Source organism: Homo sapiens, chromosome 5 (genome assembly GCF_000001405.40).
Source record: "Homo sapiens chromosome 5, GRCh38.p14 Primary Assembly".
NCBI lineage: Eukaryota > Metazoa > Chordata > Mammalia > Primates > Hominidae > Homo > Homo sapiens.
In genome coordinates, this window is record NC_000005.10 from 179,198,073 (window position 1) to 179,225,257 (window position 27,185).

At 54.7% G+C, this 27,185-nt stretch overlaps 1 protein-coding gene across 4 annotated transcripts in view, besides 4 other annotated features; it reads right to left on the reverse strand.

Annotated features, from left to right (window-relative positions):
* ADAMTS2 (ADAM metallopeptidase with thrombospondin type 1 motif 2) overlaps nucleotides 1-27,185 on the reverse strand; it is a 234,609-nt gene that overhangs the window by 87,220 nt on the left and 120,204 nt on the right. For all 4 annotated transcript variants that reach the window (NM_014244.5, XM_047417895.1, XM_047417896.1 and 1 more), the window contains one exon: nucleotides 9,441-9,643. In NM_014244.5, coding sequence (NP_055059.2) covers nucleotides 9,441-9,643 — 203 coding nt within the window. The remainder of the gene's footprint in view (nucleotides 1-9,440; nucleotides 9,644-27,185) is intronic.
* Nucleotides 736-1,030: a silencer, noted in NCBI's record as "tiled region #9172; K562 Repressive non-DNase unmatched - State 22:ReprW". NCBI's record gives its function as "weakly represses a minimal TATA promoter and a strong SV40 promoter by Sharpr-MPRA in K562 cells {active_cell/tissue: K562}" and the evidence as "EXISTENCE:reporter gene assay evidence [ECO:0000049][PMID:27701403]".
* Nucleotides 736-1,030: an enhancer, noted in NCBI's record as "tiled region #9172; HepG2 Activating non-DNase unmatched - State 22:ReprW". NCBI's record gives its function as "activates a minimal TATA promoter and a strong SV40 promoter by Sharpr-MPRA in HepG2 cells {active_cell/tissue: HepG2}" and the evidence as "EXISTENCE:reporter gene assay evidence [ECO:0000049][PMID:27701403]".
* Nucleotides 11,422-11,922: an enhancer, noted in NCBI's record as "H3K4me1 hESC enhancer chr5:178636495-178636995 (GRCh37/hg19 assembly coordinates)". NCBI's record gives its function as "activates a minimal SCP1, AML or CMV promoter by ChIP-STARR-seq in naive H9 embryonic stem cells {active_cell/tissue: H9 hESC(naive)}" and the evidence as "EXISTENCE:reporter gene assay evidence [ECO:0000049][PMID:30033119]".
* Nucleotides 19,420-20,275: an enhancer, noted in NCBI's record as "H3K4me1 hESC enhancer chr5:178644493-178645348 (GRCh37/hg19 assembly coordinates)". NCBI's record gives its function as "activates a minimal SCP1, AML or CMV promoter by ChIP-STARR-seq in naive H9 embryonic stem cells {active_cell/tissue: H9 hESC(naive)}" and the evidence as "EXISTENCE:reporter gene assay evidence [ECO:0000049][PMID:30033119]".

The following is a 27,185-nucleotide window of genomic DNA, read 5'->3' on the forward strand; positions in this document are numbered from 1 at the left end:
AGTACTTCAGGGAGTATGTTTCCCAAGCAGGAAAGGTCAAACATGACAGTGGTCTCCCAATGCCCTCGGGGGCGGGGGGCGGGCCTGGGCAGAGGAGAGCCCCTTATCCTCCCGGCTGGGCCCAGGGGAGGCAGCAACGCAAGGTGGAGGCTGCAGGCTGAGCCAGAGTAGAAAGCTGGGAGGAGCAGGAGCAGAATGAAGGCAGAGGGAATAGAAGTCACTCTGCCAGTGACGGGGCTGGGGGGCCAGCAAAGCTGGATGGGCCACACATCTGCCCACGGCTCTCACTCCATCCTCCTAGCCTCACAGTGCTTGGAAGGGAGACCCCTCTGCCCTTAGACGGGGGAATGTGGGCATCCCCAAGGGGCCTCAGCATCTCTGACCAGGCTAAGGGCCGCTGAGCCTCAGGAGACCAGACTCATCCCAGGGTTGCCAGCAGCCAGGAGGGCTACAGCTGCGTGTGCTCAAACTCCAGTGTAGGCCGGGAGCAGTGGCTCATGCCTGTGATCCCAGCACTTTGGGAGGCTGAGGCGGGTGGATCACCTGAGGTCAAGAGTTCTAGACCAGCCTGGCCAACATGGTGAAACCCCGTCTCTACTAAAAATATAAAAATTAGCCAGGCATGGCGGCACGTGCCAGTAGTCCCAGGTACTTGGGAGGCTGAGGCAGGAGAATTGCTTGAACCTGAGAGGTGGCGGTTGCAGTGAGCCGAGATCATGCCATTGCACTCCAGCCCGGGCGACAGAGCAAGACTCTATCTCAAGGAAAAAAAAAAAAAAACAAAACTCACTGCAGAGAGCCTCTGTGGACAAGGGCCCGCCCCCTGCCTGCCACAGGCTCAGCACACACCCAGTGCCCTCTTAGCACGGCTGGCTTCGCCTGGGCCTCAGAGGTGTGTGGACATGCCCAAGCAGAGGCTGGGGAAAGGCCACAGAGAACGGGAGTCTGAGGTGGCATCCAGGGGGCACATGCAGGGCAGCAGGTGTTCCCTCAGGCTATGGGGTCTGAGCGCAGGGCTCAGGTTTCTGGGCTCGCCCTAGGGACAGGCTGACTTCATAGATGACCAGGGCCTATCCTCAGAAGGCCCCGACCTTGGGGCTTGACCCTCTGCAGCTCTGTCTTGAAGTTCTTCGTCATCTCACCCTTGCATGTGTGTTTTGTAAGTGAAGGCTCCTGGGGCAATGCAGCATGGTCCCATCTCCCCAGGACAGGCTTTCAGCTGCCCCCAGCAGGGGCAGGATCAGGCATGTATTCCCCACGGCATCTCAGGGCAGGCGTGGTGGTGGCCATCCCGCCCACGGCTGGCAGGAAAGGGGCATGTCTGGTGGATGGCTGGCCAGAGCCCGTGTTTCGGCAGAGGTGAACCTCCCGTGAGTGACACCTGCATAGAGATGGGATTGGCCGTGGCCATACGCTCTGGGCTGGAGCAGTGCACCAGTAGGAAGGGGGCGTGCCTGGCTCTACTTCCCCAGACGCCCTGGCCAGGGCACAGCCAATGTGTTCTTCCAGGGGTGGCAGGAAGCTCTCAGACCCCAGTGGGTGTGCCCTTCCTGCTGGGGGTGCACTCACTCTGCTAGGACCCCGTACCTGAGGAGCCTCCCCTCGGCAGGATTCCACTCTGTGAAATCCTCTCTTCTTCCTCCCAGCCTCCCTGAGTCTGGCTGTGCCTGTCATAAACTTCTGGTCAGCCTGAGGCACCCATCAGGGATCAGCCACAAAATACACATTTGTTTAATTTCAGTGACCCCACATAGAAGCTAAATGCTCTAATATTTGCATTTAAAATAGCCATCGCACAATTTAAAGATGAATAAGAAATTCATGCTAATAATTCAAGGTTCCAATTTTTGTTCACTTAGAACAATATTAAAAAGCAAATAAAAAGAACAGCGAGTTGAGAGACAGAGAGACAGAGACTAAGGAAGAAAGGAAGTGGCTTAATAGTCCCTTTGTATGGCACCTTCCTCTGCTCTTTGAACAAGCGATCCCACATTTTCATTGTGCGTTGGGGCCTGGGAGTTACTACTGGCTCTGCCTTTAGGCCAGTGTTCCCCACTGGTAATATCCTGACGAGTTTTGCAGCAGCCAGATATTGAGGGGAAATAAGAATGCATTGCATGTAATACATTGGCTCCTTTGAATTCTCTATCTCCCCGCCACACCTTTCTTTCCTTTTTTTTTTTTTTTTTTTTTTGAGAGAGAATCTCACTCTGTCGCCCAGACTGGAGTGCAGTGGCGTCACCTCAGCTCACCGCAACCTCCGCCTCCCAGGTTCAAGCCATTCTCCTGCCTCAGCCTCCCGAGTAGCTGGGATTACAGGCACGTGCCACCACACTCGGCTTATTTTTGTATTTTTAGTAGAGATGAGGTTTTGTCATGTTGGCCAGGCTCGTCTCGAACTCTTGACCTCAAGTGATCCGCCCGCCTTGGCCTCCCAAAGTCCTAGGATTACAGGTGTGAGCCACTGCACTAAGCCTATCTTTCCTCTTACTTTGGGAGAAATTCAGGTGGAGGGCTGCTATGGCTAAACCCAAGAACAGTCAGCGGTTGGTGAGGAACTGGAGCTTGGGAAGTACAGCTGCCAAGTAGGGCAGAAACTCAGAAGATTAACTTCTGGGGAGGGCAGGAGGCATCAAACACATCACCCAAGGGAGAAGCTTTTCCCCTGGGAAGGGAAAGACTGCAGGATCTTTCCCTGTGGTCACACACACAAAAATGTAGGACATCAAAAACTATCCCAGGCGGAATAAAACAAAAGGTCAACAACAGGACTGGGGGAAATATTTCCCACACATGTGACAGACAAAAAGTTTATCTACTTAAGTACACAGACTCTTCAGATGAATAAAACACCCCCAAATCCCAGCAGAATCAAGGGCATGAATAGGCCAAGCAAAAAAATAAAATAATCTCTGTTTACAAATACACGTATATTTTTAAATGCAGGCTCATTAACATCAAGGAAATAACAACTTACAACAAAAAAACTTATCTCCGTTGTAATTAAATTACCACTGCTCAAAAGGACTCAGTGGTGTGAGGAGGTGGGGAGACAGTCATTTGCTCAATGAAGCGGGAATAGATGAAACCATAACAGAGAACATTCCAGTGTAGAAAGCTTAAAAAATGGGCATATCTGTTGGCCAGAGACTTCGCTTTCAGCAACTCAGCTTAAGGAAATAAGTAAGCACGAGCGATAGATTCAACTCTATGAACGTGATACAGTTAGTGGCATGTCTGACCTCTAATGGAGAAATAAGTTTTGCTATGTGAATATGTCATATAAATAATAAGTTAGGTAAAAAGTGTGTGACAGTCATATGGTGCGATGTTATGCAATCATTAAAACAACGTAGTAGACAATTAACTGCTGGGAGAAGACATTCACATACCTACAGGAATTTATGCTAATTTTACATAGCAAAAAAAATGTCCCGGCACGGTGGCTCACGCCTGTAATCCCAGCACTTTGGAAGGCCAAGGTGGGTGGTCACCTGAGGTCAGGAGTTCAAGACCAGCCTGGCCAACATGGTGAAACCACTGTCTTTACTAAAAATACAAAAAAAAAAAAAAAAAAAAATTAGACGGCCGTGGTGGTGCATGCCTGTAATCCCAGCTACTCAGGAGGCTGAGGCAGGAGAATCGTTTGAACTCGGGAGGAAGAGGTTGCAGTGAGCCAAGATCACACCACTGTACTCCAGCCTGGGCGACAGAGTGAGACTCTGTCTCACAATAAATAAATAAATAAAATAAATCATCTGTGTTAAATATGGACTATTTCAATAAACCAAAAAACATGCTTTTCTAGATGTAAGGAGGAAGATAAGAAAACTGGACCCAGCAGGGGCTGCTGGAGTGGGCAGGTGGGTGGTTGCCTAAACCAAAGAGCCCCTTTCTGTGCCCAGGTGGCCTCATGAAGTGCTCCATTTCCAAGCCGCTTCCCTTCTGGCAAGTCTGAGATGAAAAGGGCAGCTTCATCTTTCCCATAGAAAAGGGAATATCACGTCTTGTCTTTAACATAGACAGGAAGCAGCCCCTCCAGTGATTTCCACTGCTCCCGGAGCCACAGGCGGCTCCCCTCCACCTCTGGAAGACTGCGGCGGCCGGCCTTGCCGGCCCCGACTTCCCCTACCTGTGCCCCCTGCTTGACAGGCCAGGCTGCCTCCATTCTTCCAGCCGGCCCCATTCCTGCCTCAGGGCCTTGGCGCCGCCTGCCCCCTCCCCCAAACCTGGAACAGGCGATCCCTATCCTACCTCTTCCCACATCCTTCCGTTGTCGTGAGCCTCTGCTCCCGTGATATCTCCAGTGCACCAGCCCCTGAGCTGTAGAAAGTGGCCTGCCTTCCCCTACCCTTCTTCCTTCTCCATCTCCTAACTATTTTATTTCTTTCATTGCATTTGTCATTATTTGAAATGATCCTGTTTGTTTTTCACTTCAGTATCGTCTGTGCCTCCCTTCCCAGAATGCAAGGTAGCAGGGTTACGTCCTGTCATGCTCACAGCTGCACCCCTTGCCTGACATATAATAGACGCCCCATAAACACCGGCCCCCGTATGAACGGCAGCCAGGGGCACCAGACAGAGGAGGATGGCTATGCCGAGAATCCACCCCATCTCAGCAGCTGAACACAATACACCGCACACCGTGTTTCCTTACTCACACCATGGCGCGGGGTGGGTCGGGAGGGCCCGAGCCTATGTTGCAGCTGTACCTACTGGGACACATGGCTTCCAAGGTTTCCGTGGCAGGGGAGACAGAGATGGAGGGGACTCCAAGCTCTTACCAGCCTTGGTCCACAGGTGACCCAGGTCACTTCCTTTCACACAGGCCACTAGGCAAAACTGGCCATGCAGCTCCACACCAGCTACAAGGGAGACTGGGGAGGGGAGCACAGGGGTGATCGATGAGGCTGAACTGCCTGTGCCACCCCTGGACCCCATATCCCAGCCCAGGCTCTGCCACAAAGAGATCCCAAAGGGAGCTCTGCAGGCAGAAGTCACCCCAAATGATGAGGGAAACTGAGGCAGTGCAGGGCTGCCAGGGTGGAGCTGTGCCTGCACTCAGCCTGCCACCACCTCACCTCCTCCTCAGAGCCTGCATTCCCTGGGTCCCCACCATCAGGGCCCCCACCAGCTCCTCCTCCCAGGGCTCGACGGCCTTTCCCAGGGCACAGGCTGTGCCACCATTCTCTGCATCCAGTTCAGTGGGCAGCTCATTGCCCAGGGCTGGCCCCCAGACCCCGGGCTCTGGATGTGCCGTTGCCCAGCCCCACCTGCTCTACAGCTCCAGACAAACACCTCACTGGGAGCCCAGTCCCAGCCGGCTGCTGCCACGTCTGTCCTTCCATGCTTTTGCTTTCGCTCCAGCCACGGGGAGCCCTGTGACCAGCTGGGACTTACAAGAGGAGTGTGACAAGCCACTGGCCAGGCCTTAGAGGGCCACTTGGGGTTGTGGTTCGAGGCCCCCATAGCACCCAAGTTCAGAGACAGGGCACGGTAGGCAGATCCTCTGTGCACAGGCCCAACCCTGCCCTGTTCAGCACAGCAGCTGCCAGCCACACTGCGGCTTCCATCCAGGTGAAAATTAATCCAAACAAAGTACTCTTCGGGGTGGCTACCGTAAAAAAGAAAAAAAAGACAAGAGTTGGTGACAATTTGGAGAGACTAGAATCCCTGTACACTGTTGGTGGGGGGCAAAATGGCACAGCCACTGTGGGAAACAGCGTGGAAACTCCTCAAAAAATTAAAGAAAGAATTACCCTGTGTCCCGCAATTCTACTTATGGGCATATAGTCAAGAGAACGGAAAACAGAGTCTGGAACACCCACGTTCACGGCAGCACTATTCACAGTAGCCCATGAGGGGGCCACCGGAGTGCCCATGGATGGCTGGATAAACAAAATGTGGCCGATCCACCCACACACGGGATACTGGTCCTCCCTGAAAAGGAAGGACATTCTTACACATGCTGCAATGTGGATGGCCCCGAGGATGTCATGCTAAGTGAAATAAGCCAGACACAAAAGGACAATTATTGTTTGATCCACTTATGCGAGGTACCCAGAGTAGTCAAATTCTCAGAAACAGAAAGTGGAGTGGTGGGTGCCAGGAGTCGGGGGGAGGGGAGGAAAGGGCTGAAACTCAATGGGCACAGTTTCAATTTTACAAGATGAAGAGTTCTGTGGACGGTGGTGGCGATGGTGGCCCAGCCACATGAATGTGCTTACGCCACCGAATCGCACGCTTAAAAATGGTGAAGACGGTGACTTATGTTCTGTATATTTCACCGCAATTAAAATTTTTTAAATTAAAATTCTCTTGGAACAAATAAGAAGTTAAATTAAAAATTCAGTTCTTCAAGGACACCAGCCACACTTCAAGTGCTCCAGAGCCCCGGTGGCTACTGCCCCAGAAAGGGCGAGACGAGCATCTCCCCAGCACCGCGGGAAGCTCTGTCGCACAGCAGGGCTCTGGAAGGTCACCCTTTCTCAGAAGCTCCCACTTGCTCAATGCCCCTCCTCCCCAAGACCACCAAAGGGTCCGACATAGCTTAGATCTGTCCTCAGGACTCTCCGGGCATGCAGAGGCTCTCAGTGAGGACGCAGGGCATTCATCGTCAGGGCAATGCCATGCTCCAGGCACGGCCGCGCCTTATCTCCCTCGCCCACGCTGCGCTCTTGCAGTGGGAGCTGGGGCTCAGATCAGAGGCAGAGACCCCCCGCTGACCCTCCGCCGCCGGTCTCCCACGCCCCGGGACTCTCTGCCACGCCCCGCCGCCTCTGCAGGACACCCCCACTGTGCCCATGACAAGCACACTGTCAACACGTTTGCTGAATGAATCAGTGCTCACTTCTGTGCAACAGGGGACAACAGACACGGCCCAAATACTTTCTCAACTTCTGAGACTTGTCTCCTAAAACGGTTTCTCTGTTGTGATAAAACTCATCTCAATTTAAGAATTTTTAAATTTCTCATGCTTTTCTAGAAACGAACCTTCCCATTATTCAAAATAGGGGGTACGGCTGGATCACTAGGGTTTGAATAAAGTTGGACGGCAAAAGTGAGAGAACGTTCTAGACATCCTCCAACCAGCTGTTGTGACAGAGAGACCCTGGGCACCAGGAGAAAGGTTGATCTGCCTCTGCCAGCCTCATGAAGGACTCACCACGGGCCCCACATTTGGTCAGCGCCCTTGGTGGGCTATCAGAAGTGACCCCTCCTGGACTGTCACTAAACAGTGCCACTGTCATGATAACAAAACCACATTTTATGTGGAAACTGAAAACGTGTTCACCCTACTGAGAGACTGAAAAGCACATTCACTGACATTATCTCATGTAATCACATCAACCCCCACGATGAAAACACTGGCCCATTTTACAGATGAGAAAACTAAGGCTCAGAGGACGGGAGCAGCGTTCCCAACGACGCGCCTGGAAAAGGCGAGGCCTGGAGTCGCCATCGGACTGTAATTCCAAGCCCAGTCCTTTCCCCGCTGGGTTGGAAGGCGACATAATGCTAGGGGAAGAACTCATATTGTGAAGGCAGCCAAGATTTTATACCTGCCAGTCTCACAGACCTAGCATGAGGACTTCCCAAGATAATTTAGCATGGCAAGTGCCCAGCATGGGCCCGGCACAGTCACATAGTAGGGGCTCGATAATGTAGCCATTATGGTTTTATTGTTATTATTATTATTATTATTATTATTATTTTTGAGACGGAGTCTCGCTCTGTCACTGAGGCTAGAGTGCAGTGGTGCGATCTCAGCTCACTGCAAGCTCCGCCTCCCAGGTTCACGCCATTCTCCTGCCTCAGCCTCCTGAGTAGCTGGGACTACAGGCGCCCGCCACCACGCCCGGCTAATTTTTTGTATTTTTAGTAGAGACGGGGTTTCACCGTGGTCTCGATCTCCTGACCTCGTGATCCGCCCACCTCGGCCTCCCAAAGTGCTGGGATTACAGGCGTGAGCCACCGCACCCGGCCGTTATTATGATTATTGCATTAAAGGTACGTTTCAAAAATAAGATGAGGGTAAGTGTGACAACGCTCTCCCAAATAAAACGAATTCTGCCGATGCAGCGGACTTCGGCCCCCTGTACGGATAAGGCTGGGCTCCAGAGGGCTAGCTGACTCACCCAAGACCGGTCAAGAGGAAAGTGAGCATGAAGGTGGTGTCTCTGTCCAGTGTTCAGCTCACTCACATCCCCTCCTGCCCCTGAGGTATCTTTTCACCAGGGCCCTGGGGACTCTGACCCATGTGTCAGCTTGGCTCCTGGAGGGGCTCACCCCTGGTCCGAAAAGCAGAGCTGGGCAGCAGATCCTGAGCAGACCTGCACACCCTGCTGCCTGCCTCTAGCCCGGCCCCAGAGGACCTCATTCATCCACAGGTGTGGACACGCAGCACGGGGTTCTAGAACTTCCCACCTGCCCGGCTTCCACACCACCTCCAGCCCTCCCTAAGCCCCGGCTTCCTCCCACAAATACCCCCCTGCCCCTAGGGCCCCACTGGCAGCATCTCACATTCCAGGCCGTGCCCTGGTCCTCCTTCTCACCCCCTTCTTTTCCCTGCAGGACTCAGCCAAGCCAGTCTGCTCCCCTGGGAGCCTGCATTTTGAAGACTGGACGCCCCTCATCCCCACAGTGGCTCTGACCACATGAGGCAGAGAGAGGAAAGGTCTGCACAGCCTCCACCCACACACGGTTCAGCATCCTGGCACCTCCTGCTTAGGTTGTTGGGGGTATGGAATGAGGGGGAGGTGGTTCTTTAATCTCTTAGTGTTAGGCAGACCATGGGCAGGTGCCCAGAAGACGAAGGTGGCACATAGACACCCCTTTCAATAGCCCAGACTCACAGGGAGAAAGGAATTCCCTCCCCAATTCCTCCCACTGCGAGCTTTAAGGAGGGGCCCTGGGTTGGTGTCTGGCCCTCGCTCTAATGCACGTGAATCTCTACTTTAAACAGAAAAGGGGCTTCTGTTTGGAGCGAGAAGAAGGCAGGGCTATCCAGCTGGGGCTGAATAACGTCACTTTATGTCTTACTATTATATTAGCTTTTCAGGTAAAATAAGGTTGCCTTTTTAAATGATTTTAGTTTTAAAAGTGGCAAACATCAAGAAAACATATTTTTCAAATGACGGGACATTGAATGACATTGTCATTCAAACGACTGGAGTTTGCACAAACCCGCCTTAGCCTGTGAAGAGCCTCACCAAGTTACCATCACCCACGATGTGCAGACGAGAGAACTGAGGTCAGGGATGGTCAACTTGTCTCACCTGGGGACCCAGCAAGCCTCCCTGAGACTGTGTCACTCACCTCCGGCTAACAAGGAAATCGGCAGAGCCTCAGGGGACCTGGCCCAGCTGGGCCTCTCTGGCCTGCCCAGCCCCTGGTTGACCCTCCCCGCCCCACCCTGCCCCCTCAGCCACCCCACTCACAATGTTCATGAGTGTCAGCAGGTACTTCTGTACGTGCTCCTTCCCGTGGAACTGCACCACAGAGTCATCCACGCCCAGCAGGACCTCGATGTTGTAGTCATCGTCCGCAGCATGCCTGCGTGCCCTCCGCCTCGAGCTGTTGGCGTGCTCCTCTAGGACGCCCAGGGCGCGGCTGAGGCTGTCCAGGCTGTCCAGGGAGGCCCCTGCAAGGAGAGGACACCGTCTTCAGCGGCAGGGCAAACCCACCCGGACACAAACCTACCAGGCGCCAGCTTGGCCATCCTCTCATTTAAAACTCATAGCACCCTGAACCGAGGGTATTATTCCATTTTACAGAGGAAAGCGAGGTGCAGAGGAAGATGGCAGAGACTTGCCAAGCTGTCTCAGACACAGCAGGGCCCAGACAGGCACCTCTGTGACTTCCAGGACCGCTCGTTCCCCAGCCCCTGGTGGCAACCCCAGCCACAGCAGGGGCCACAGTGGCCTCCACACGATGGATCAGACCTGCTGAGACTGTGAGAGACCCAGCCCAGCATCACCGTCTGCCTTATGGAGCCCAGGGCTGGCATTCAGCCATGGAGAGGTCGGGAACCTCAGCCCGCACTGCCTGACGCTGGAGTGGGCAGAGCCACCCCTTGCCCACACTGCCCGATGCTGGAGTGGGTAGAGCCACCTCTTCTCCCCCGAAGGGCTGCCAGGTGCCAAAGGACTGGTGTCCCAGGTGTCATCGCCAGCTGTTATGACTGGGGAAACCGAGGCCCATCCTGGGCTGTGCATGTTCCCCAGTGTCTCCTTGGGCCCCTCCCAGAACTTTCTGCTAAGTCCTCCACTGAAGCGAGGCCCCACATCTCTGGGCCAGGTCCCGGGCCCCCTCCCCAGGTGAACGGTACCGCCTCTGGCCTGATTGAATTGTGCAGAGACCAAGATGAACCCCTCTGTGGCAGCTCCGCTGCAGTCGGCCCTGGGCAGGCACTGACCTCCTGCCCCCAGGGTGTGCCCCTGGCCACTTGGGGCTGCCATCCTGGGGAGTCTGCCCCGGATATCGTCCCTGCCTTCTGTGCAGTGCTGTCTCTGCTGTGTTCTGTGTCCTGCGGGCCTGGAGACCACCCTGGACCAGGCTTCAGTTCCCAGCCCTCCACTGCCCGTCTGAAGGCCACAGCAAGGCTGGCCAGGCTGACCTGCAGCATCGATGGCAGCCCCAGACCACACTGCCCACCGCCCCCCAAGCCCCAGTGTCCTGGAAGCCCCCTTTCCCTTGCACTGGTCTCTGTGTCTAAGCCAGGTCCCAGCCCCAGGGTCTCCATGGCATTCCCCAGGCAGGTCCTCAGAGACTCCTGGCCCGGGACAGACCCAGGGCTGCAGGTCATCGTGACATCACTGACCCACAGGGCGGTGGCCAGGCCCCGAGGCCCCTGCAGCTGAGGGAGACCAGCGTCCCTGCTGCACCACCTCTCTACAAAGAGTCTTCCAGAACAACACTTTTCACCCCCAACGCCTCTCTCCTGCTGCCTCTTCCAGGCAGGGACAGGCACTCCCTCCCTGTGAGGGTGGCCCAGGACAGGCCCTGGAGGCAGAACAAGGCCCCTGCAGGCGGCACGGCCACTCGGACAGTGAGGCAGCCTGGTACCAGGCCCTCATCCCGGCACACGCTTCCTCACCCAGTGCTGACAGCAGGCCACTCGGTGGACGTGGCCATTTCCGTTTTACAGATGGGGAGACCCATGGCATCCCAGCATGGCCGACTCTCGGCCAGAAGCTCTCTCCTTGCACCCTGCAGCCTGGCTCAGACAAGACAGACTGAACATGAAGTTTCAGGCACAAACCTGCAGCCCGGCTGTGGGCAAGACCAAGACAGACAGTGGAGGTGCGAGGCGGAGGGTGAGGGCTGGGAAAGAGAAGAGGAGTAAGTGGGGCCAGGGCTGAGCAGCTGCTGGGGTTCCAGTACCTTCGGGGGTCCTTGTGCCACCCCCAGCTCCACAGTTCTGTGTCCCCTCGGCGCACACACACATGCACACACACACACATGCACACACATGTACACACACACAAGCACACACATGCACACACATGTACACACACAGGCACACACACATGCATGTACACAGCAAGGACTTTCCAGGGCCACTCCAGGGACAGGGGTGGGGCCGGCAGGCCTGCGGGCAGGGCTGTGGGGAGCCGAGCAGTCCACTTAGCTGCCTGGATGACTCAGGGCCATCCATGCCGTTCCCAGAGGAAGCGCCAGCAACTCAAGCCTGACAGGGGGGTTGAGGAATCGCCACTCTATTTTTGTACATTTATTTCTTTGCATTTCCAACGAACAGAGACAGCTCACCTTCAGAATCACCTTGGGAAGGAGAGTGATGGCAATTTCCATAGGAAAACTCTTCCTCCCTGGGGAACAGGCCGGGCGTTACCCTCTGCCCTTGTCAAACTAGGGGTCACACACGGGCGGTGCCCTCGGCAAAACCAGACCACAGAGGCACTCGTTGAGGTCACGTGGTGCCATCTGGTTGATAGTATTTGAAAACTGGGAGATTTCATGTTTTAAAAATCTAGAACATCCAGCTTCTCTTGAGGAATTAAGAGATGGGGCCACCCCAGGGGTAGCCCGGGTCTGTGAATTGAGGGGCCACACCTGGAGACAAAACACACAGGGCTTGGCTCACCAGGCCACCTGCCTGCCACTGTCAATGTCATTCTGGCACCAGAAGGTATCACAGTATGTCCTCCTGGCCCTAACCCCAGAGTCCCCATGCAGGGACCCCTCCAGACATTCCCCGTAGGAGGGCATGGGTGCCGCATCGGGACAGAGCTGGGCTGGGGCACGTCTTGAGGCTGCTTCTGCCGAGCAGGCAGAGTTTTTAACTAAACTGTGTGTTGCAAGCCCATTAAAAACAGCAAAGGTTTCTAAAGATTTAGAATCTGAATTTCACCTGAAATGGAATTATTATTGTTGCCATCATTATTTTAATCGTGATAATTTTGGGGTGAAATTTGGAAATTATGTTCTAGAGCATCCCTCCACCCAGGACCAGTGCCTAGAGAGACGGCCCAAGGCCCAAAGGCAAAGTGGGTGAGGAGAGGAAGACAGGGGCCTGGGCCACCTGGCAGGTGACAGCCACGCCCTGCGTCTGGCCCCTGGAAGCCTCAGTGGTGCTCAGGCTGGACAGGACAAGGGGAGAAGCCCTAAGAGCAGGGGGATCTGCAATGCCCTCAGACCTGGGGCAACAGGAGCTCTGGCCCAGCCCCCCTCCTGTCCTCCTCTGTCCCAACAAGACCCGGCAGTCAGGCTGAAGCCCCAGCTTGTCAATCACGAGTGCCACCTCAGTTTTCCCCACAATAAGATTGACCCTGACCCTGTCAATCACGAGTGCCACCTCAGTTTTTCCCACATTGGGCTTAACCCAGGCCATGAAGAGACTCTGACCACATGCTGGCCCTTGCAGACCTGTTCCCCAAATAGAGCCTTGCTATAGGGAGCTCTGGCCAGTGGGCCTGGCGTGGTCCTGAGTCGTCTTCCTAGTGATCCCTTTGAAGTCAACCTTGGCCTTGGGCCTGCCCACCTGCACTGGTTGCCTACCTGGTCTAACAGCCCCTGTTCCACTTGGTCCCTCCAAGGCAGAAGAGGGCTATTTGCTGCTCTCCCCTCCTCCCCTGGGAGCTCCCTGTGTAGCCCAGCCCTGCTGAGCTGTGGTGACTGGGAGCTCACACAGCCTCTGCTGTATCCCTCGGCACTCACCCCGCCTGGATGAGTGATCAGCGCACCCATCTCCTGCAGAGGCAGGAGGATGACACTGCCCTTGGCCTTCCTTTCCTCTGTGTGCAGCCTTCCCCACAAGAAGGCACTGGGCCCCCTGGGGGTGCTGATTGACCAAGCCCCAGAAGTCATACCCAGGTGGGCTGCAGCTACCCTGAAGGGAGGTGTCTGTGGCAGGATCCCATCTTTTAAATAGGTAACACAGAGCTTTCGAGTTCCTGGCATTCCCTGTGCTCAGGGCCCCTTTTGGATGGCAGCTGGAGATCTCTTTGCTCACATCGTGGCCAAATAATGACACTGTGGGAAGCACTCCAGAGCCATCCTGTTTTAGAGTCTCTAGAATGGAACAAAAAGACTCTATCGAAGAGTCAATCAATAAACAGGGAGAGGATGGAATGAGGGGAGGCAGCAGTTCTGTCCAGGGAATTCCATCAGGGGAACGGGTGGGTCACAGTAGCCACGGGCTCATCCACAGTGCCACAGTGCACAGGGCACGTGGGCAAGGGCTGCAACTGCCAGCATCCTAGGCACACCCCGAGTCTCCAGGCAGGGGTGTGTGCACAGCCCTTCACAGTGGCAGCTCCATACCCCCAGCAGCCATCCAATCCCCTCGCCAAGGTGGAGGCGTGTCACCATCAGCATATCGTCCTATTTCAGCATCAGGGAAACAAACCAAGGAGCAGGAAAATTACATGACTCGGACAAGCCACACCACCAGAGAGGAGGAGTGGGCACGCGCCCAGGCCTCTGAGTCCAACGTTGTCCACATGCCCGGAGCCCTTCTGTACTTCACCAGCACTGAGGGGTGATTTGCGGGAATGAGAATTGTAGAAACAAGTATGATTAGACTAGAGAAGAGAAAACCTGGGACTGAGTCTGCAACCTCGGGAGCATCGTGGGATGGTGCGGGCTCTGAGGGTGGGTACAGTGGGCAGGTGTGGGATCTGTGGGCAGGTGCAGTGGGCAGGCACGGGCTCTGTGGGCAGGTGTGGGCTCTGAAGGCAGGTGCAGTGAGCAGGCGTGGGCCCTGAAGGCAGGTGCAGTGAGCAGGTGTGGGCCCTGAGGGTGGGTTCAGTGGGCACGTGTGGGCCCTGAGGGCGGGTGCAGTGGGCAGGCATGGGCTCTGTGGGCAGGTGTGGGCTCTGAAGGCAGGTGCAGTGGGCAGGCGTGGGCCCTGAGGGTGGGTTCAGTGGGCACGTGTGGGCCCTGAGGGCGGGTGCAGTGGGCAGGCACGGGCTTTGTGGGCAGGTGTGGGCTCCGAAGGCAGGTGCAGTGAGCAGGCGTGGGTCCTGAGGGCAGGTGCAGTGGGCAGGCGTGGGCCCTGAGGGTGGGTTCAGTGGGCAGGTGTGGGCCCTGAGGGCGGGTGCAGTGGGCAGGTGTGGGCCCTGAGGGCGGGTGCAGTGGGCAGGTGTGGGCCCTGAGGGCGGGTGCAGTGGGCAGGTGTGGGCCCTGAGGGCGGGTGCAGTGGGCAGGTGTGGGCCTGAGGGCGGGTGCAGTGGGCAGGTGTGGGCTGAGGGCAAGTGCAGTGGGCAGGTGTGGGCTCTGAGGTCAGGCAGGGGCTTTGCAGTGCTAAGGGTGGCTGGGTGTTCGCTGTCCCCTGTGCGAAGCTCAGTCCTATGCCTTTTCTGGGCTGGCCTCTTCACCTGCGATGCCCTTTTTGCTGCTGCCGCTGTGCTGGCCAAATTTAGGCCCCCTGAAAGACCCAGAAGGAAGGGAGCCCGCTGCCTCCCATGGGACTCAGAGCTCTTGAAAGACAGGAGCATGTTCTGCCCCCATCTGCCTCCTGCACAGCCACACTGCGTGCCACTAGGGGACGACAGGGACAGGGGCCGGGGCAGGGATGCTTAAAACCTGAGGACCACACTGTTCAGTGACACGGCCGACTGCTGTCCCCTCTCCATGGGATGGCCGCCCCCTCATTGCTCTCTTCCTTCAGGTGTCTGCTGAAATGTCAGCTCCTAAGGGAGAACTTTCCTTATTTCATCCCAAATTGAAATCAGCCCTCCCCTGATTTCTCCCGACAGCACCCCGTGCTCTTCCTTCCTGTGACACTCCACTGCAGGCAGGTCTTGTCTCATTTGTGAATTTGCCTGGGCATTAACTGACTTTCCCTCTCAGATAGAGAACCCTGGGGGATGGAGACCATGGGGTCTGGTGTGCCTCAGTGTCCCCAGTGCCCCACAGGTAACCGCAGGGCTGTGAGGGGCCTGGAGCCATGGCAGAGAGGTGCTCTGGGAACAGAGGGCCCAGCAGAGGCGAGCTGGGGGCCTCTGGGGAGTTGGGAACTGGGATAGAAGGAGAGGCAGGTGCAGCAGGGCCGGAGGGGCCACACTGGGGGTGGGGAGCCGAGAACAGGAGCAAAAGTGTGGTGGCAGTTGGAGAAGCATGAGATGGAACAAAATCCAGCTACAAATTACTTGCATATGGCATAACCAAGTCCAAATGACCAGGAGGAGTTAAAACAAGTGGGGCAAAGAAACGTACCATGTAATTGCCAACCAAGGCATTTAAGGAGATAAACTGATAAAACAAACAACTCATGGAAAAAAATACAAAAGATACGAAACTTTATGCTCCTAAAGCTTCAACCTGGTGCAAGGAAGGAGAGACAAGGCCACAGTGATAGGAGCACTGTAATACATTTATTCCAGACAAGTCTGATACAGCATTAGGTAGGGATAGAAACTATTTGAATTAATAGGAAAACCTAACGTTCAAACCCAACAGCCAGAACACGTGACCTTGTCAAGCACACACGGGAGAAGTTCCACATTTTACCACATTAGGACACAACTCAAAAACTCAAAAGCCGTGCCCACAGTCACCATTACTGAGACACATTAGGACACAACTCAAAAGCCGTGCCCACAGTCACCATTACTGAGACACATTAGGACACAACTCAAAAATCGTGCTCACAGTCACCATTACTGAGACACATTAGGACACAACTCAAAAATCGTGCCCACAGTCACCATTACTGAGACACATTAGGACACAACTCAAAAGCCGTGCCCACAATCACCATTACTGAGACAAAATCAGAGATAACAATAAAACCCTAAACCCTAAACATCTGAAATTAAAAGCACCATTCTAATAGGCCTAGACTAAATAGAAAATATACATTCCACTCATGGCTCAAGTAGAAAACCTGAAGAAACCAATAACCTCAGAAGAAATTGAAAGAGCAGTCAAAGAAATGCTTCCATAGAAGAGTTTAACCAAATCCACAAGGAACAGATACTCCTCATCTCACATAAAATAATGCAAAGATCAAGACTTCTTGAACATAGGAATAACCCGCAAGAAAGCAGAGTGGAAAAAAGAGCTTATCAGCTATAACAGCAAAACTCCCAAGTATCTAAGAACAAACAAAAACTAATGAATGTTCAACGACTACACAAAAAGTAGTATAATATAGTCTAAGGTCTCCAAAAACACAAAAGAAGACCTCAGTAAATGAAGCTACATGGACATAATCCTGGACTGGAAGTTGGTCCTCCTCCAAATGAATCAAGAAATTTGGCATAATCTCCATCAAATAATTGTTAAAATAATTGTTAAAATTATTCTCCGTCAAATAATCTCCGTCGAATAATTGTTAAAATTATTCTCTGTCAAATAATCTCCGTCGAATAATTGTTAAAATAATTGTTAAAATTATTCTCCGCCAAATAATCTCCATCAAATAATTGTTAAAACCCAACAAAGTGATTCCAACATTCATCCGGAAGACCACACCAGACAGAAAAATAATGAAAAAGAATGACAATGAGGAGGCATATTTTTTTCAAATTAATGCAGTGTATTATAAAATAATATTAATGAAAACGTAGTTGTGTCAATGTCATGAAAGAAACAGATCAATGGAGCTGAATAAAACTTCCAAAAACAGGCTGGGTGCAGTGGCTCACGCCTGTAATTCCAGTACTTTGGGAGGCCGAGGCGGGTGGATCACCTGAGGTTGGGAGTTTGAGACCAGCCTGACCAATATGGAGAAACCCTATCTCTACTAAAAATACAAAATTAGCTGGGCATGGTGGTGCATGCCTGTAATCCCAGCTACTCGGGAGGCTGAGGCAGGAGAATCGCTTGAACCGGGGAGGCGGAGGCTGTGGTAAGCTGAGATCACGCCATTGCACTCCAGCCTGAGCAACAAGAGTGAAACTCCGTCTCAAAAACACAAAACAAAACAAAAAAACTTCCAAAAACAGATCCAAGAATATGTGGGGTTTCCAGGTTAAAATGGCGGATTGAACACAGATATCTGATTTGGCTCCTTTCTAGAATCCCATTAAAAGTTCAGTAAAGAAATTTAAAAAAAATTTAAAGTCACAAGCCTCCAAGGATAGGCAGAGCAGGAGGGGAAGAAACAACAAGGGAACTGTGGGAGGCTGGAAACAGATGGGCAAGTGGTAACAGACTTGGTACATCAAGAAAGCTGAATCCCAGGCTGGCCATGAAGACAGCCACATTCTACAAAGTCTCCCGGAGAATAAGAAGGGGGAAAATCAGGTTACAGGAGAGGTCATAGACAAAGAATTGGAATCAGAATGACTCAGAGTTCTCAAAAGCAGCATTCGATGCAGGAAAACAGTGGAGGAAAGCCTTCAGAATTCTGAAGGAAAATGATTGTCCAACTGGAATTCTGCATCCAGACACATTCCCCATCAAGTATGAAAGTGGAATAAGGACATTTCTAGACATGTCAGTTCTCAAAAGATTTATGTGACAAGCACTCCTCTCAAGAAGCTACTGAAAGGTGTGCACCATCAAAAACAAAAAAGGCAACAAAGAAAGAGTAAGACACAGATATAGAAAACGGAAGCCCAACACAGATAGAGAAAACGGGAGCCCAACACAGAAGACATGGCCTGGGAGGCCCATGGAGGGTGGCGAGAAGTGACCCTGAGGTGATGGCTCTGCACCAGATGTGGAGAGCGACTGAGCCATACTGAGCAGCGTGACCCACGGGGTGAACTGTCTTCACCAAGACCCCACCTCCATCAGGCCATCTGTAGCCCGGGGACAAAATGCCCAGGAGAGCCTGGCCTAGGTTCTTGGCAGTACTTGGCTTGGCCATGTGCCGATGAGGGGCGCTCCCCTCCTCTGCTGAGGACGCACAACATTCACAGAAGTTTCCAGCTTTCCCCCCACCGAGAGCTGGAGGCAGGCCGTGGCGAGCTTAGAAGCAGGACGTACAGGTCAGCCCCCTCCCTCTGACCGTATTTCCGCTGCAGGTCCAGCGCGTGGTCCCCACCTGGGCCCTACCAGGTGCCTGACTGTGCTGAGCCCAAGACTTCCTCGAGACCTTGCTCACGACTTCCCCAGGAGGGGCCTTGTCAGTTCCCGGAGAAGCAGAAGTCAGACCACGACCTGGAGACTGATCTGCTCACCTCCGGGAGCCTCCATCCAGCGGGGGCAGTGCCGCCCTCTCCTTACACTGCCAGCGTGTGCCAGCTCTCCACTTTAATATTAATCGTCTTTGATATTCATTTGCATGTAATTATAAATAGTTGCTCAAGTAGCAATACAGTGAATAAAATTAGTAAATGATACAGGTAGCAAACGGTGCTAGGAAACGGCGGAGGTGGAGCAGGAGGGGACAACCTGGCAGTCTGGCACTACTGAGGGGATCATGAGGAAGAGCACCATGCGGCTCATATCCTAAAGATACAGGATGTCTATCGGATAGCCCAGTGCCCTCCTTGGACTGACCCTTGGCCCATGGGCCATTGTTCGGCCCCATGGACTGGCTTGCAGATGGGCAAACTTGCACAGGTCTGTAAGGAGGCAATGGGGAGCTGCCCCTTGCAGCATTGCTTGGGTGGAGTGAGGGGAGCTGGAAACAACACGGGGGTCATCAGTGGGTGAGAGGAGAAGCAAATGTGGTGGGGGCATCCCACAAAGTGCTACCAAGGTTAGAAGTTTGATATCTACATAGATGGATGGATCTTAAAAACAGAGTGCCAAGTGCAAAAGGTAAGAAACAGAATGAGACACAATTCAGAGCGACTTACATAAATTATGGATACACAGACGCAAGACAGCAACACTCATGTTGCAAAAATGTACACTAAGGAAAGGATACGGTTTGATCACCTGAAATGGTTGCTCACTGCAGGAGAAAATCAGAAGGAAGAGAGCAGGCTGGGGAGATAAATGGCTTTTGTTTCTTTCTTTGTTTTAATGATGTTAGGACAACTGGTTAGAGGGAGGAAAAGGTCAAATTTTGACCTCATGCCTTAAGCAAAAACAGATTCCAAGTGGATGAGATGATCAAAAGGAAGTCATGGAAGTGCTAGAAGAAAATGTAGCGAGGCACCTTTTTATCATCTTGCTGTTGGGCGGGCTTTGGGTTCCAAGCCTAGGGCTCTTTCCCAGCCCTCTCCTTAGCTGCCCCATCCCCTGTGAGCAGTTTCCCACTCTGCTGGACTCTGCTGGCTGAATGCAAGGGCAGATGGCACACTTGCTAGGGGATGGTGTGAGGGGGGATGGGCACACTCACTAGGGGATGGCGCAAGGGGGGGATGGGCACACTCACTAGGGGATGGCCTGAGGGCAGACAGGCACACTCACTAGGTAGGGGATGGCCTGAGGGCAGACGGCACACTCACTAGGTAGGGGATGGCCTGAGGGCAGACGGCACACTCACTGAGGCACCTGCACACAGACAGAGGTGCTGTGCTACTGCCTCAACCTGCCAACCATGTGGATGGGAACAAGTCATCCTTTTTCCAGTGCTTAGGAGTCCCCAAAACGTAAGTCCTAATGACCGCCCTGCAGAGCCAGAACTGCCACACTGCCCAGAAGAGGAGAGGGAGGCTCAGGGAATTAGACTAAGGCCATGATGTTGGCAAATGGCCAGGCCAGAATGCCAGCCCAGTTCCTGCACACAAGCACTGCCAGGGCCTGCAGGGGCCACCACCAGGCTCAGGAGGACCAAAGCCTGGAGCACCAGCAGCCTCTCCTCCAACATGAGGAGCCCCACCCAGGGGAGGTCAACGGGAACAAGGTCATCCCCTCCATTTCTTACTAACCAAGAGAGAGTCGCTCTGTGGCTGTGTATTCCCCTAAAGATAATCATTAAGATGAAATATGTTTATGTGGAAGTGTAATCAGGACACAGCAGAAAGCCCTGCTTGGAAGCAGGCAGGCTCTTTGGAGGCTCTGGGAAGCAGAAGGCAGGCTCAGCCCCACGGGGGCCATCAGCACAGAGCCCCACTGGTGTACTTTATTAAAAGATGCTCATTAGGATTATTACATCCCAGCCCTTTATAACTTTATTACTGACTTTGAATTAATTTTTGCAACTTCAACAGACACAGCTCATCCAATGCCATTTTTATGACCTGAGGTGGATCGGAGGGTGGGGAGGGGCTCCTGGGGCCGGCCTGGCCATCAGGAGCGCATCAGGAACCGCTGTGCCGAATCTCAGGGGCAGTCCTGACAGTTCTCTAAACTCCCACGGGATGGGCTGCCCCGCGGACAGATGGACGCTCCAGCCCAGGCCTGCTCAGCCTCAGCCATGCTTCAGGGAGAAAAAGGAAGCACTAAAGGAGAGAAGGCCTCTCCGGGCCAGTCCTCAGAACATACCCCCGCACAGCAGAGGACAAAGGACACCCCTCAGTGGTGGACACAGAAGGTCCTGGCCTGCCCAGCACCTGCACACCCTCACAGAGCCACCTGGGGTTGCACAGCACGGTGGCCTGCCCTGTCTGGCCATTACACCTTTTCTGCTAGTAAACCACCCTCCCCTATTTGCACCCCATATGGCTCATGGGGAGCCAATCCCACTGCACCCCAGCTCCAGGAGTGCCCAAGGGGTCCTGTTAGGCCACTGGAACCTGATGCTGTGTGTTGGTGTGCACAGGAAGACTCCCGTGCTTTCCTCTCTGCTGGGAAAATGTGACTCTGGGACTGCTAAGTACCTCCTTCCCCCAGGAGCAGCAGAGGCGAGAGATGAGGGCAGCCCCGTGTGCTGCTGACACTGTTCAGGTCCCCAAATCCAGCTATGGCTGAAGGTGATGCACCCCTGGACATCCTAATTCTTCAGGTCAATTCATTTAGCTCTCTGTCTCTTGCAACCACGAGAGTCCTGTGTGCCCTTACAAACACAGACACAGCCAAATGTGCTGGCCTGAGAGAGACACCATGGTTTGGCTTTGCAGCCACAGCTCTCTTGAACGATTGAGGCATCAGACCAGGCCACTCTCTTCTGCCCTGTGCCTGCACCTCCCAGTGTGGGGCGAGGAGAAGGTCTGCAGTATTTAAGGTCTATGACCAGAAAAGGGGCCAGGCTCTGGTCCGGCTCCCAGATACGTGTCCTTGGGAAATGGTGCCCAGCAGAGGTGTGAGGCTGCTGAGGTTGAGCCCAAGCCAGCAGGGCCATGCTGAGTGACCAGCAGCTGTGCGAGCCCCTCTGAGGTGTCCTGCAGCAGGGCTGGGGCTTCCTGTCTACAGCCCTCACAGAGGTTCCCAAACACAACTTCCCCCTCTTCACCCCAGGGCTGGGGCCTCCTGTCTACAGCCCCCACAGAGGTTCCCAAACACAACTTCCCCTTCGTCCCCCCAGCACCCGCCGAACTACCGAGGCTCCTCTGCACCTGCCCCGTGCCACTCTCCAGCGGCCTCTGCAGCCCACTCACCTCCAAGGATTCACGGGGGTCTCGGGGCCTTCAGAGGCTGGGGCGGGTGACAAGAGCCAGCAAGCCCTGCCCCTGCCTAGCATCTGCTTAAGCCAGGGAGGGTCCCCAGGACTCACCACAGCCCCCAGGGCTCCAAGCCTTCCCTCTGCTGGGCAGTTGGCCCAGGGAAGGGGAGCTGGCCTGGGTAATGTCACGGGGGCACCGCAGCACGCGGCAGCCAAGTGGTGGGGGCCGATGGAGAGGCCGGCAGGTCTTTTATTGAAAATATTCACTGTGAACTTCAGAACAAAACGAAGATCCCCACGGGTCCCAAAGGAAGGGAGAATTCCCAGGGGTTGTGTTCTGAACGCAGAGGAGGTGGGGGCCGGCAAGTGGGGTGCTGACAGCCAGTGCCACGGGACCCATGTGGCCGGAGGCTTGGCCAGTGGCTCAGCAGATGACAGGCGGAAAATCCCTGTCACCAGTCCGGTACATGCTCCAGAGCCCCTGATTTGGACATCATCTGGAAGCCTGGCATTGCTCCCCGGAAGGCCTCAGGTACCTCACACTCAGAAGGTCCAGGGCCTGCTGCCTCCTCTGCCCGCACGTGCACCTCCGGCTGCACTGCCAGCTGCATCGTCCACCTAGGGAGTGGGGCCCGCATGCAGCCAGGTCCATGCCAGGAGCAGAACCTGCCTCTCCCCCTCCCTCAAAGGCAGCTCCCTCCTCACTCCTCAGGGTCTCTGGAACCTACCCCTCCACGCTCTATGCCCTCTGTACTGCCCACGCTCCTGACTCCAGCAGCATCTGCGCCTCCCCCATCTCTGCACTCTTCAAATCCAAGTTCCAAGGCATTTCTTTACCTGCCAACCTCAGTTTCCCTTGTTGTGGCCTTCACGTCCTTTGATGTTGAGCCCTGCGTTCATGCAGGGTGGGCGTGGGCCCTGCAGGGGTGAGGTCCTGGTCCCCTGGGAAGAGCTTGCAGCCAACACAAGCGGGAGGTCTCAGATGCTGCCCGACCCTGTGCAAATGAGGCCCTCTCCTACCCGGCCATGAGCCACGTGCAGGGACTCAGCACCTGCCTCTGCTCCCTCCTCCTTCCTGACCCCTCTAGGTCAGGAGTCCAGGCACACAGCAGTGCTGGGGTGCTGCAGCCAAGCACAGGCTCTTCCTAGCTGATTGTGGGACCTGGGGCAGCCCTGCACGGTGGGCCACACTGTGCCACCAAGCTGCCTTCCTAGGAGGAAGAGTTCCTCAGATGCCCAGGCACCAGGGACTTCACACACCTCCTGTTTCTTCTTCATGGTAGCCGGTGGAGTGGGCACGGGACCTCTCTTACGCAAATGAGGGAACAAGCCCTGGGCCCAGGCAACAGGCACCCCTGCGTGACCCCAGCATCTGGCTCTGTCCCCCGCATCCCGAGCTTCCAATGGCCCATGGTGGTGATTGCACCTGGTCCAGCAGCCAAGAGGGAGCTGAAAGTACCAGGGCCCTGGCCCAGCTGAGGACCTTGCTGCCATCACCCACCATGACCCTTGGGCACAAAGACCCCCCACTTTCAGTCGTGGCACCAAGCACAGTCCATGTCTGACCAGGACCTGCTCAAGGAGCAGGAGTGACCGAGGACAACCCCGGGGACCACCCCAGCCCTCCCCCATGCTGGGGGTGGAAGGGTGGTGAGGCCTGGGGCCTCTTGATGCTCCCATGCCCTGATGTCCCATCCTCCAGGACGCTCCCATGCCCCTGCGCCTCCTGAGGGGGCAGGGAAACCCCATGTGGGCGGGCAGCAGCCAGGCTCCCTGGATCTGCCCAGAGAAGAGCCCCCCGCAGAGGTGATGCAATGCTCACCACGCCCCCCTCAGCTCAAGACCCTGGAACTTGCCAGACCCTCAGCCCTCTCTCCCAGTGAGTGTCAGGGACCTCCCTTTCCCCTCAGGCTGCTGGGCCCCCAAACCACATGTCCTCCTTCCCTCTGCTCCAGCCCCCCATGGGGCTGAGGAGCAGGCCTGCCCAACCTTTGTTTCTGGTCTCTCCTGTCCTTCACGCCTGGCTGTGGGATCTTCTCTCAGACCTGCCTCTCCCACGGGTAAATCCCAAGGTGCAGACTCAGAGACAGCACCGAGAGGCCCCCAGTGCAGCCGCCACTCTGAGCCCAGAGGCCAGGCCATCCAACCCTGCAGGGACGGGGGTTCCTCCCATTTGTCTTCCTGTGTGAACTCCGTGGGTCCAGAAGCCTGAGTTTGGGGGTGGTGACAATTGGCCCTGGTGGACCCCACACACTCCTGTCCCATGATGCTTCCTGCCCTAGAATATCCCAGCTGCAGTTGAGGAGGGAAGGGGCTCCTCATACTCCCCACACAGCACCCAGACCACGGTGTTGACGAGGCTTAATTTGATCAGCCCTATTTCGAGAAGGGAGGAAATCAGAAATCAGAGTGAGTGCTGAGTCCTGAAAATTTAATCCCCAAGGCAGCCTCACAGGGCCTTTCCTCCCCAACCGGGGCAGGTGGCAGGGATGCACTACAAGCCCAGATCCCAGGGCCACCCTGAGAACCAGGAGGGGAGGGAGGGCCACCCTGCCTGCAGAGAGGATGGCAAAGGCCCTGCTTGCCGGGCCCCAGCTGCCCTCAACACTGCAAGGGCTCAGAAGACTGGACCAGCAGCTGGCCGGGCAGAAACTATAGAAATCATCCTAATTCTACTTTAAAAGGCTGGGGTTTCCTCTTCTTGCTTAAAAGCTGGTGTGACCCTTCCAGGTAGCAGCCAGCGGCAGGCCTGTGGCTCACTGAGATGGGCTGGGTGGGTGGCCCTCTGGCCTGTGCTCCCAACCAGCTGCCCATGTGCTCCTGCCTGCCCTGCAGAGGTGACGTGGCTGCCATCACAGCATTGCATGTTGTGAACTGACTCCTGCCAAGCCCTGAGAGGGCATCAAGTCTGGCAGCAGCCCCTGCAGGGCCCAGCTGCCTCCGAACCTCCAGCATGCTTCTCCCAGGGCAGGAGCACCCTCCCCAGAGCACCCAGTCCTGTTGCCACTTTCTGCCAGGCAACCCCTCCCCCTGCTTCCAGGTCCAGCCTGACTTTCCTCCTGTTTGCAACAGTTCCTACCTGCCTGCCCTGGGCCCATGCCCTCCACCAGGACAAGTCACTGTCTCCTTCTCTGGCTCCCAAAACCTTCATTTTCATTCATTTGTTCATTGTTCATTCACTCGTCAAGTATTTTGCTAACTACCATTTGCCAGCCTTGCGTGGCACCACCTCTAGGAGAGCGCTCTGGGGTGTCACCATCACAGGCTGGCCTGCTCAGTGATCACTCCTCAGACACATGCACACACACACATGCACGCAGTCACATACACACATGCACACTCACACGAATGCACTCATACACACACACACGAACGCACTCACATACACACATGCACACTCACACAAATGCACTCATATACACACGAATGCACTCAGACACTCACAAACACGCACACACGAATGCACTCACACACACGCATGCAGTCACATACACACATGCACTCACACGAACGCACTCACACACGCACACTCACACACGAATGCACTCACACACAAATGGACTCACACTCACATGCACACTCATACGAATGCACTCACACACATGCACTCACACTCACACGAATGCACTCACACACACGCGAATGCACTCGCACACGCATGCACTCACGCGTGAATGCACTCGCATACTCACATGCACACTCACATGAATGCACACACACATACACTCACAGACGCACACTCACACATGAATGCACTCACACACACGAATGCTCTTACATGCACACAAACGCACATGCATACATTCATCACATGTGAGTGTATGTGAGTGCATGTGCGTGTATGTGAGTCTATGGATGTGTGTGCATGTCACACGTGTGTGCATATGTGACATGCACACTCAGGCACACACATGCACACACACAAACGTGCACATGCACACACAGGCTCTACAGTGAACTCCTGGAAGACTGAGGTGGCCCTTGACCCCTCTCTAAGTCCCCAGGTACCCACATGGGGCTTGGCAAAATGAATAAATAAACGGGCCAAAAACGCCTATTGGATAAATGGAAAACTTAGTTATCCTTATGCTACTTCTGAGCAGGTGGAGACAGGACAGGGTAGGACGAGGCGCAGCGTGGATGCGGGCGGATTGTCTGTATCTCCTTGGTGGGAGCAGTTGGCCGTGGAGTCTACATCGGTTTCCTTCCTGGCCGTCATTTACAGGGAGAGCATGAGGGCGGCGTGAGGTCAGCGGGGCAGGTGGATGCTGTGCGCTTACTGCAGCCATGCGGTGGGTGCACGCTACCACCGTCTTCTCCTCTTTTTCTTGGGAGCTGTCGCCATGGCTCCCGGCACACCCTGACATCCGTAGGCGCCATCCTGACAACACGCTGCCGGCCGCAGGCCTCACACCACAGCAATTCTCACTCGGGCCTCCCTGACCCTCGACCTGTGGGTCCCTGCTAGGCTGGGCGTGTTTCCCGATGCCCCATCTCTCTGACCTAGACATATTTTGTTCACATGTTGAACAGAGAGAAACGGTCTGCATTTCCAGAAAGAAATATACTCTCCCAATTTTCCTTGGAGCATGCGGCCCTCTTGGCTTGTCTTTTGCTTATTCCCTCTTCACTGAGAAATATTTTGCTCCCGTGAGAAAAGCCATGTGGGCAGGGGGATGAGAGGGCACACTGCCTCCAGCCCAAGGTGGCCAGTGGTGACTAGGAGGGTGCAGGTCCATGTTGCTGGGTCTTATTTTTGTAAGGAAGTGAGAAATCTGGATTTGCATGTGAAGTCTCTGATCTCTAAATACTGGCAAAAAGCAATTTAAGAATAATGTAGGTGCTGTGCTGCTTGTGAAATGAACCAAAGCTGGGTCCCCAGGTCTGTCTGCCACCTCAGCTCCACGCCCAGACCAAAGCTGTGTCCTCAGGTCTGTCTGCCACCTCGGCTCCACGCCCTGAGCAACCGTTTCCCTGTATCCTCCTCCGTCTGGCCTGGAGAGGTTTTGAGCACAGTAGGTTCTGGCCAACCAGAGTGAGTCCACCTGCCTCTGCCTCACAGTGGCTGAAGCTTCCCGGGCCGCAGTTCACGCCCCACTTGTTTCTCCACATCCCTTTCCCACCTTGAAGGACAGCTCCTGATGGATGTGTTTTATGGTGGAATCCTCACGCAGGGGCCTGAGGAACACTCCCTGGTTATCCACACGGCAACTAACACTCAGCACGCACCAGGCTCCTCCTCCCTCTCATGGACTCTCAATTCAGCCCCGCACAGCCAAGGGCTCACCCACATCATGTGCGCTTCAGACAAAGGACTAATTTCCTTAATACA